Source organism: Homo sapiens, chromosome 2 (assembly GCF_000001405.40).
Source record: "Homo sapiens chromosome 2, GRCh38.p14 Primary Assembly".
NCBI classification, from domain to species: Eukaryota; Metazoa; Chordata; class Mammalia; order Primates; family Hominidae; genus Homo; species Homo sapiens.
In genome coordinates, this window is record NC_000002.12 from 33656613 (window position 1) to 33668214 (window position 11602).

At 43.1% G+C, this 11602-nt stretch overlaps 1 long non-coding RNA gene across 1 annotated transcript; it reads left to right on the forward strand.

Moving 5' to 3' along the window:
* Positions 1 to 211: 211 nt before the first annotated feature.
* LOC124905986 (uncharacterized) lies at positions 212 to 10623 on the forward strand. The gene is made up of 2 exons (XR_007086274.1): positions 212 to 1343; positions 6361 to 10623. It is a non-coding gene; the product is annotated as an uncharacterized LOC124905986 (long non-coding RNA).
* The last annotated feature ends 979 nt before the right edge of the window (positions 10624 to 11602 follow it).

Sequence of the window (11602 nt, forward strand, 5' to 3'; positions counted from 1 at the left end):
ACACCGCATATTCTCACTCATAGGTGGGAATTGAACAATAACACAAGGACACAGGAAGGGGAACATCACACTCTGGGGACTGTTGTAGGGTGAGGGGAGTGGGGAGGGATAGCACTGGGAGATATACCTAATGCTAGATGACGAGTTAGTGGGTGCAGCACACCAGCATGTCACATGTATACATATGTAACTAACCTGCACATTGTGCACATGTACCCTAAAACTTAAAGTATAATAAAAAAAAAAGTGGGTCTAGGACCCCATAAGCCCATTGTTCAAGTCAGCCTGACAAACTGGTCAGTAGCTAATTTTGCTATAGGTCTCCGAAGAAAAAAAATGGGATGAGGTCTCCGTTTTCTTTTACCTACTTGGGAGCTTGACCTTGTAACCACATGGCAATACTTTTTTGGTCTCCGCCGTTTTACAGTGGTGGCCCAGGTTCAATCCTGGCTTAGGGAATGAGTATTTTCTGGTTAATATCTGTGTGACTTTTTCCATTTGCTGATTCTCTTCCCCTCCATGAACAACTTCCATAATAGCTTCCTTTCTTAAATCTTCCTTTCTCTGAGTTACCTTTAAAGATTCTAGATTTTGTAAAAACTGCTTACCACCTGTTTGAAAATACCTTGTACACTCACGGTTAAGTCATAGCCTTAGGTGAGGCTTGTTGGTTTCACCTATGAGGTTACTTTTGGCAAAGTTTAAAAGCCAGAAATATTGGCCACTTGGTGTGGCTAAAGTTGGGTAATAAGGGATTTAAAAGGATATTTTTTTGAAAGAGTGTTATGGTTGAAAGTCAGCTTAATTAGGGCAACCCCCTTTGGGTCCCCTCCCATTTTATGGGAGCTCTGTTTTCACTCTATTAAATCTTGCAACTGCACACTCTTCTGGTCCGTGTTTGTTACAGCTTGAGCTGAGCTTTCACTCGCCATCTACCACTGCTGTTTGCCGCCATCACAGACCCGCTGCTGACTTTCACCCCTCCGGATCTGGCAGGGTGTCTGCTGTGCTCCTGATCCAGTGAGGCGCCCATTGCCACCCCGGATTGGGCTAAAGACTTGCCATTGTTCCTGCACGGCTAAGTGCCCGGGTTCATCCTAATCGAGCTGAACACTAGTTGCTGGGTTCCACGGTTATCTTCCGTGACCCACAGCGTCTAAGAGAGCTATAACACTGCATGGCCCAGATTCCATTCCTTGGAATCCGTGAGGCCAAACCCCAGGTCAGAGAACAAGAGGCTTGCTGCCATCTTGAGAGCGGCTGCCACCATCTTGGGAGCTCTAAGAACAAGCCCCCACCCCAACCGGTAACATTTTGGCGACCATGAAGGGACCTCCAAAGCAGTGAGTAATATTGGACCCTTTCGCTTGCTATCCTGTCCTATCCTTCCTTAGAATTGGAGGAAAATACCAGGCACCTGTTGGCCAGTTAAAAACGATTAGCATGGCCACCAGACTTAAGACTCAGGCGTGAGGCTGTCTGGGAAAGGGCTTTCTAACAACCCCCAACCCTTCTGGGTTGGAAGCATGGTCTGCCTGGAACCAGCTTGCACTTTCAATTTTCCTGGGGAAACTGAGGGCCAACTAGAGGCAGAAAGCTGTCGTCTGGAACTCCCAGCATTAGCCGGTTGAGATTATGGCACAGCCAGAAGTCTACTCAACAGTCGCCCATGCGTGCGCCCCTGCCTTTCCTTCTGACCCATACCTTCTGGGTCCTGACCACAAATTTCTTGAAAGTATAGCCCCAAAATTCTCCTTACCTCTGAATCTACTTCCTCTGATCCCTGCCTCCTAGATACTGATGCTTCAGACTTTCACTTCCTCTCCCAAGTATTACAGCAGGTTGTATTTCCAAAGGGTTCTAAGGAAGATCTATGCTGCACCCTTAGGCCCCTAGGCTATGAACCCAGGGAGTCTTATCCCTGGTGTCCCTCCCAATTTAGGCATAGAGCTCTCAACATGGGCAGTTATGTGGGACCCGTTCCCCACCACCCTTGCCAGGGCCTTAGAATTGATAACCCAGTACTTTAACAACTGGAACTGGTTCTACAACAACATAATAGATCAGGATGAAAGCAAATTGAGTAAATAAAAGGGAGGCGCATATTCCTATAGTGGCAAATGGGGCAATGAGCGAACGTCCTTCCACTGTGTTTCCAAAAATCCATCTACAAAGACGGAAAGGAAAAAGTAAGTGAGAAAGAGAAAGATAGAAGTAGTAAAGAAAAAAACAGTGTACCTTATTTCTTTAAAAGCCAGGGTAAATTTAAAACCTATAATTGATAACTGAAGGTTTTCTCCGTGACCCTATAACACTCCAATACCACTTTGTTGTCAGTGTAAATAAGGGCATAGCCTGAAAGCACTGAGGCCACTGACAACTAGTAGCCGTCCTATAAAAAATCCTTAATCCAGGAACCCACGGGTGCCCAAATGCATTCAACCTGTAGCGGCAACTGCTTTGCTAACAGAAGAAAGTAGAAAATTAGCCTTTAGAGGAAACCTCACTGTGAGCACACCTCACCAGTTCAGAACTATCCTAAGTCAAAAAAGCAAAAAGATAGCTTACTAACTCAAAAATCTTAAAGTATGGGGCTATTCTGTTAGAGAAAGATAATTTAACATTAACCACTGAAAATTCCCTTAACCCAGCAGATTTCCTAACAGCGGATTTAAATCTTAATTACCATACAAAGGTCCGACCAGACCTAGGAGGAACTCCCTTCAGGACAGGACAATAGATGGTTCCTCCCAGGTGATTGAGAAAAAAACCACAATGGGTATTCAATAATTGAGGGAAACTCTTGTAGAAGCAGAGTTAAGAAAATTGCCTAATAATTGGTCTGCTCAAACGTGCGAGCTGTTTGCACTCAGCCAAGCCTTAAAGTACTTACAAAATCAAAAAACTCTATCTCAATCCTGACTCAAAAGGTTACCCATACCCTCTCTGAAATGAATTTGCATAAGAACTGTTGTTTGTAGGAATGCATCTTGATGGGGCAACTGGGTTATTATGAAATACCCAGGAACCCAGCCTGTCTCCAGAACTCACCCTTGAGCTCAAAGGCAATGTTGGGCATGCTGGTAAAGGACCACTAGAATCCAGCAGCCCAGACCCCTTTCTTTGTGGTCAAGAAAGGTGGGAATACAGGTGCAGGACTGCTACATCGGTGAGTGTAACTAATCTAATAAGCAGAAGTCCATGGGTGGTTACACACCCTGGAAAGGAATAAGCATTAGGACCACAGAGGATGCTCTAGGACTAATGCTTATCAGAAAATGACTAGGGGTGCTGGCATCTCTATGTTCTTTTTTCAGATGGGAAATGTTCCCCTCAAGGCAAAAACACCCCTAAGATGTATTCTGGAGAATTCATCCCAGCCAGAGTGTATATAACTTTTTCCCTCTCAGACTTGAAGCAAATTAAAATAGACCTAGGTAAATTCTCAGGTAACCCTGATGGCTATATTGACATTTTACAAGGGTTAGCACAATCCTTTGATCTGACATAGAGAGATATAATGTTACTGCTAAATCAGACACTAACCCCAAATGAGAGTTTGGCGATCTCTGGTATCTCAGTAAGGTCAATGATAGGATGACAACAGAGGAAAGAGAACGATTCCCCACAGGCCAGCAGGCAGTTCCCAGTGTAGACCCTCACTGGGATGCAGAATCAGAACATGGAGATTGGTGCCACAGACATTTGCTAACTTGCATGCTAGAAGGACTAAGGAAAACTAGGAAGAAGACTATGAATTATTCAATGATGTCCACTATAACACAGGGAAAGGAAGAAATTCCTATTGCCTTTCTGGAGAGACTAAGGAAGTAGCATACCTCTCTGTCACCTGACTATTGAAGGCCAACTAATCTTAAAGGATAAGTTTATCTCTCAGTCAGCTGCAGACATTAGAAAAAAGCTTCAAAAGTCTGCCTTAGGCCGAGAGCAAAACTTAGAAACCCTGTTGAACTTGGCAACCTCAGTTTTTTATAATAGAGATGAGGAAGAGCAGGCGGAACGGGACAAACGGGATCAAAAAAGGCCACCACTTTAGTCATGGCCCTCAGGCAAGCAGACTTTGGAGGCTCTGGAACATGGAAAGGCTGGGCAAATTGAATGCCTAATGGGGCTTGCTTCCAGTGTGGTCTGCAAGGACACTTTAAAAAAGATTGTCCATATAGAAATAAGCCGCCCCCTCGTCCATGCCCCTTATGTCAAGGGAATCACTGGAATGCCCACTGCCCCAGCAGACGAAAGTCCTATGAGTCAGAAGCCACTCACCAGCTGATCCAGCAGCAGGACTGAGGGTGCCCGGAGCAAGTGCCAGCACATGCCATCACCCTCACAGAGCCCCAGGTATGCATGACCATTGAGGGCCAGGAGGTTAACTGTCTCCTGGACACTGGCACGGCCTTCTCAGTGTTACTCTCCTGTCCCGGACAAGTGTCCTCCAGATCTTTCACTATCTGAGGGGTCCTAGGACAGCCAGTCACTAGATACCCAGCCACTAAGTTGTGACTGGGGAACTTTACTCTTTTCACATGCTCTTCTAATTATGCCTGAAAGCCCCACTCCCTTGTGAGGGAGAGACATTCTAGCAAAAGCAGGGGCCATTATACACCTGAATATAGGAGAAGGAACACCCATTTGTTGTCCCCTGCTTGAGGAAGGAATTAATCCTGAAGTCTGGGCAACAGAAGAACAATATGGATGAGCAAAGAATGCCCGTCCTGTTCAAGTTCATCTAAAGGATTCCACCTCCTTTCCCTACCAAAGGCAGTACCCCCTTAGACCCGAGGCCCAACAAGGACTCCAAAAGATTGTTAAGGACCTAAAAGCCCAAGGCCTAGTAAACCATGAACCATGAAATAGCCCCTGCAGCATTCCAATTTTAGAAGTACAGAAACCCAAAAGACAGTGGAGGTTAGTGCAAGATCTCAGGATTATCAATGAGGCCGTTGTCCCTCTATACCCAGCTGTACCAAACCCTTATACTCTGCTTTCCCAAATACCAGAGGAAGCACAGTGGTTTACAGTCCTGGACCTTAAGGATGCCTTTGTCTGCATCTCTGTACATCCTGACTCTCCATTCTTGTTTGCCTTTGAAGATCCTTCAAACCCAACGTCTCAAATCACCTGGACTGTTTTACCCCATGGGTTCAGGAGTAGCCCCCATCTATTTGGCCATGCATTAGCCCAAGACTTGAGCTGGTTCTCATACCTGGACACTCTTGTCCTTTGGCACGTGGATGATATACTTTTAGCCGCCCATTCAGAAACCTTGTGCCATCAAGCCACCCAAGCACTCTTTTTTTTTTTTTTTTTGGGATGGAGTCTTGCTCTGTCACCCAGGCTGGAGTGCAGTGGTGCAATCTTGGCTCACTGCAAGCTCCGCCTCATGGGTTCATGCTATTCTCCTGCTTCAGCCTCCCAAGTAGCTGGGACTACAGGCACCTGCCACCATGCCCAGCTAATTTTTTGTATTTTTAGTAGAGACGGGTTTCACCGTGTTAGCCAGGATGGTCTCAATCTCCTGACTTTGTGACCTGCCCACCTCAGCCTCCCAAAGTGCTAGGATTACAGGCATGAGCCACTGCACCCAGCCCCACCCAAGCACTCTTAAATTTCCTCACCACCTGTGGCTACAAGGTTTCCATACCAAAGGCTCAGCTCTGCTCACAGCAGGTTAAATACTTAGGGCTAAAATTATCCAAAGGCACCAGGGCCTTCAGTAAGAAACCTATCTAGCCTATACTGGCTTATCCTCATCCCAAAACACTAAAGCAACTAAGAGGGTTCCTTGGCATAAAAGGCTTCTGCCGAATATGGATTCCCAGGTACAGCGAAATAGCCAGGCCATTATATACACTAATTAAGGAAACTCAGAAAGCCAATACCCATTTAGTAAGATGGATACCTGAAGCAGAAGTGGCTTTCCAGGCCCTAAAGAAGGCCCTAACCCAAACCCCAGTGTTAAGCTTGCCAACAGTGCTAGACTTTTCTTTATATGTCACAGAAAAACAGGAATAGCTCTAGGAGTCCTTACACAGGTCTGAGGGACCAGCTTGCAACCCGTGGCATACTTGAGTAAGGAAACTGATGTAGTGACAAAGGGTTGGCCTCATTGTTTACTGGTAGTGGCAGCAGTAGCAGTCTTAGTATCTGAAGCAGTTAAAATGATACAGGGAAGAGATCTTACTGTGTGGACATCTCATGATGTGAATGGCATACTCACTGCTAAAGGAGACTTGTGGCTGTCAGACAACCATTTGCTTAAATATCAGGCTCTATTAGTTGAAGGACCAGTGCTGCGACTGCACACTTGTGCAACTCTTAATCCAGCCACATTTTTTCCAGGCAATGAAGAAAAAACAGAACATAACTGTCAACAAGTAATTGCTCAAACCTGCACCGCTCAAGGAGATCTTCTAGAGGTTCCCTTGACTGATCCCGACCTCAACTTGTATACTGATGGAAGTTCCTTTGTAGAAAAAAGACTTCAAAAAGTGGGGTATGCAGTGGTCAGTGATAATGGAATACTTGAAAGTAATCCCCTCACTCCAGGAACTAGCGCTTAGCTGGCAGAACTAATAGCCCTCACTCAGGCACTAGAATTAGGAGAAGGAAAAAGGGTAAATATATATACAGACTCTAAGTATGCTTACCTAGTCCTCCATGCCCATGCAGCAATATGGAGAGAAAGGGAATTCCTAACTTCCGAGGGAACACCTATCAAACATCAAGAAGCCATTAGGAGATTATTATTGGCTGTACAGAAACCTAAAGAGGTGGCAGTCTTACACTGCTGGGGTCATCAGAGGGGAAAGGAAAGGGAAATAGAAGGGAACCACCAAGCGGATATTGAAGCCAAAAGAGCCACAAGGCGGGACCCTCCATTAGAAATGCTTATAGAAGGACCCCTAGTATGGGGTAATCCCCTCTGGGAAACCAAGCCCCAGTACTCAGCAGGAGAAATAGGATGGGGAACTTCACAAGGACATAGTTTCCTCCCCTCAGGATGGCTAGCCACAGAAGAAGGGAAAATACTTTTGACTGCAGCTAACCAATGGAAATTACTTAAAACCCTTCACCAAACCTTTCACTTAGGCACATAGCACCCATCAGATAGCCAAATCATTATTTACGGGACCAGGCCTTTTCAAAACTATCAAGCAGATAGTCAGAGCCTGTGAAGTGTGCCAAAGAAATAATCCCCTGCACTGCAGCCACACATTTCAATCCCTGTATCTTTAACCTCTTTGTTAAGTTTGTCTCTTCCAGAATCGAAGCTGTAAAACTACAAATGGTTCTTCAAATGGAGCCACAATGCAGTCCACAACTAAGATCTAGTGCAGACCCCTGGACTGGCCTGCTAGCCCATGCTCCAATGTTGATGACATCGAAGGCATGCCTCCTGAGGAAATCTCAACTGCACGACCCCTACTATGCCCCAATTCAGCAAAAAGCAGTTAAAGCGGTTGTCGGCCAACCTCCCCAACAGCACTTGGGTTTTACTGTTGAGAGGGGGGACTGAGAGACAGGACTACCTGGATTTCCTAGGCCGACTAAGAATCCCTAAGCCTAGCTGGGAAGGTGACCACATCCACCTTTAAACACAGGGCTTGCAACTTAGCTCACACTTGACCAGTCAGGTAGTAAAGAGAGCTCACTAAAATGCTAATTAGGCTAAAACAGAAGGTAAGGAAATAGCCAATTATCTATCACCTGAGAGCATGGGGGAGGGACAATGATCGGGATATAAACCCAGGCATTCAAGCCATTGGGTCCCCTCCCATTTTATGGGAGCTCTGTTTTCACTCTATTAAATCTTGCAACTGCAAAAAAAAAATTTTGAGTCATCTTTTTTGCTAAATGACTTATGGTAACCTGGAATTCTATTTCATTATATCAAGTGTTTTCACCTTTAACATATTTCATAGGCTTCCCAAAATCAAATTTCAGCTTTGAAACTGTCTTTTCTGACTCCTGAATTTTGAATGCTACAGAGGGCTCCTGAAGCAACTAACAGAGAGGTAAACAGGATTATTTTACATATTTAGTTACACGGGATTGTCAGAATAAAAATAATGTTTAATCTTCTTCAGGTTATATTTTAGTGAATAATAGTAATATATGTTCCAAAATTTTATGGGATTTCTAAAATTCTAATGTCTAAGTATATGCTATCTAATCATAATTAAGGTTACTATGTTAAGTTATTGTAAACCACAGAAATAACTGAATTTGTCAGTCATGTTTTTTTTTGTCTTGTTTTGATCCTTTTCAAAAGATGGTTTAAAATCAGCTATAGAACTTTGACAGGTGCTCTTAAATTCAGGTTCCTGATGTCTTTGGAGATTGTGACATTGGAATAAAGGAAAAATGTCCAAGACTCATGAAGAGATGAAATGTTCATGAGTATCAAGCAGAAAAGAGTTAACTGAATGAACTGAACTAACAGAGAACTGAAGTAATCTTTTTTTAACTTTTTGCCTAAAACATTGCTTAACCTTGTTTTGTTTTTGAGAATCAAGGAAACTTTTCTTCTGAGCTAGCTACAGTATTTAACAATTGGGTAAAGTATACTCCTGTGAACAAAATTTGGAGCATATTTGTTTCTCTCTGCCTGGTTTCTCTAGAATTTGGAAACTATTTGTGAGTATTCTTAACTTACGGTGATATAATTGCTTGCATAAGTGCAAGAAGAATCCATTTTCTCTTGCAACAGGATGCAATTGGAAAGACTGGTTGTTTTACTAAGGCTTCAACTAGAAGGATGTGCTTCCCTTTAAGGAACCAAGCTTTACTAGCAGAGCCAATAAAAGCCCCTTGGGAAAACTGGCCTCATATCTTGTCTACACAGTTCCTGTACAGGGTTGCTAACCTGTGGTGAGTAAAGAATGTAACTTTCTAACAGGCTTAGGAGCCCCAAGTTATCTTGGGACCCCAACAAGAGAGGAATTTGGAAACTCAAAGGTATTTGAGGATACAAACCCATGTCTGGGCTTGGCTTTAAAAAGTCTTGTCTGAGATTCCTTATGGAACAGAGTTCCATCAGAGCCCATTTAAAAAGCCTATATGAAAATAATTATTTTTGCTGCACTTTATGCAAATAATCAGGCCAAGTATAAGACTAAAGTTTATTTTGCAAGCAAATCAGTCCTATCATGATTTGTTTTTAACAAAAATGAGGACTGTAGAGAGAAAATTATGTTTCAAAACTTATACTTTTGTCATTAAATTCTAGTCACATCAGTTGTTTTTAAGTTTTCATGTACATTTTAGACTAACCCTGCTTATTCATGTGAACCAACCAGTGATCTCCAGCTGCAGCTCAGAAGGAACAGAAGGAATGGGTAATGTAAAAATCTGAATCAAATATTCTAGTTCTGGGCAATTATCTTGCAAATCTTGCCCGGTGATAGGAGTAAATGGGGTGCCCATAACAGGAGGTTTCTTTTTTGGGAAAATAAGACCAAATCAGCTAACTAACCAAAGCCAATTCCCATGCACGCAAATCTTAGCAGGCGTAACTATTAATATAGCATGTCAACAGCCTGGGGATTTTTGAGCTGTCCTTATTCGCTTGTTCCATTTTAATCCATGTCTTCTAATAACCCTGTTTGTCTCATCTTGCTTTCAGGCCATCAAACTCCAATGTTCATGCAACCAGAGCCTTGGATGATGGCTCCTTTTTACCAGGGACTTTTAGATAGGCCTCTGAAGGATATCTGACTGCTGTTTTCCCAAAATAACAGCCCCTGTCAGCATGAAGTAGTTAAAATTGGTCATCGTTCTTATCCTAATGGAAGTTAGATGTACCTCTTCAGAGGAGGGAATGATAGAGGTAGGAAGCAGAAAAATGCTTAGGCAGATAGGGATGAGTCCCTAGTGAAACCCCACCTCCAAGTCAAAGACAGTTTAAAGCCTGAAAGTCATGCCACAAGTTAAATCCACAGACTGGATTGAGAACCTATCTTCCTATTTGGTGCACTTTCCTCTGATTGAGCCCTGCCTTTCATCTATTTTACATATACCTACCCTTCCATAATTTTTTTTTACACTCTTGTGACCACCTTTGAGTGGTTCCTTAGTTTTAACATTTTTTACATACTCACAAATCAGTCAGCACGCCCTCCCCATTCTGTGCCTATGAAAACCCTGAACTCAGCCACACTTTGAAACTGTCCATCTTTGGGCAGGGGTGGGGACTGCCTGCCTTCAGGCAGGAGAGAGAGACAACCTGAACTTCCCCTCTCCTCTCCACTGAGAGCTGTTTCATCACTCAATAAAATTCTCTGTCCTCATCACCCTTCAATTGTCAGTGTGACCTCATTCTTCTTGGATGTTGGACGAGAATTGGAGACCACTGAATGCAGGGGCTGACTGCGCTGTCACAGCAGCCATGGGAGCCGTGGGCCATAGTGCAAGCCAAACATGGCCCAGTGGGCCGAGTAGACAGGGTGCCCCCTGCTGCAAGCCTGGCAAAAGGGCTGAGAAAAATCCTGCATCACTATTATTTGGACTCTGACATGCTATTTAAAAAGAAATTAATTCAGAAATACAGCCCAGCATGGCAATGTAATATTAGAAATAAAATCTAAATTATTTTCTTGCCTATGGAGTTATGTTAAAATTCATTTATTAAGTGAAATCTGGAGGCTATTTTGTTTAAGTGTCATCTCTGTGACAAGTCATCCTCTGTTGATAAAAGAATAAAAAGCTTTTGGAGTAAGTGTTCATGCAGAACACCCCTGCATGGATTCCTGGAATGGTTAGGGCTACTTCTTCTTTGCATTCCATCAATAAGCTAAATGCAGTGAAGATAAAAAGTGAGAGGCTATGACAAAGAATCCTCTGTGGTCCATTGTGTGAATGATTTATAAATAATAGATGATGTTTATAATGATGCTGTCAGGTCAAAAACTGTGAAAACCAGAGTAGTAAAGAAGATTGCCTGAGGGGTAGGATCATTACTCATGATATAATTGTTTTGTTCTTTTATTTAGTAATTCTTTTATTTAGTAATAAAAGTAATTTTATTTAGTAATTTATTTAGTAATTTTATTTAGTAATTTTGCAGAAATCAGCCATGTTACACCACCCTAGAGATTCAGGATTCAGCCCCCTATATGTCAAAACTGACTTTTTTTTTTTGAGACATGGTCTGTCTCTGTTACTTAGGCCAGAGTGCAGTGGTGTGAACATGGCTCACTGCAGCCTCAATCTCCTAGGTTCAAGTGATCCTCTCACCTCAGCCTCCAGAGTATATGGGACTACAGGTGAACATCATCATGCCTGGCTAATTTTTTTACCTTTTTAATTTTGTAGAGATGAGGGGCTCTCCATGTTGTCCTGGCTGGTCGTGAACTCCTGAACTCAAGTGACTTCCTGCCTCAGCCTCCCAAAATTTGGGATTACAGGTGTGAGCTACCACACCCAGCCCAAACTGACTTTATTAGATAGATACAGATGTTGACAAATCAGCAGTGATCAGAAACTTTTTCAATAAGGTAAGATTTGATGATACATACATATGTCCCTTGTTCTTCAGACCTGCATTACAGGTATAAATCTAATATTATAATTAATTCAAAGG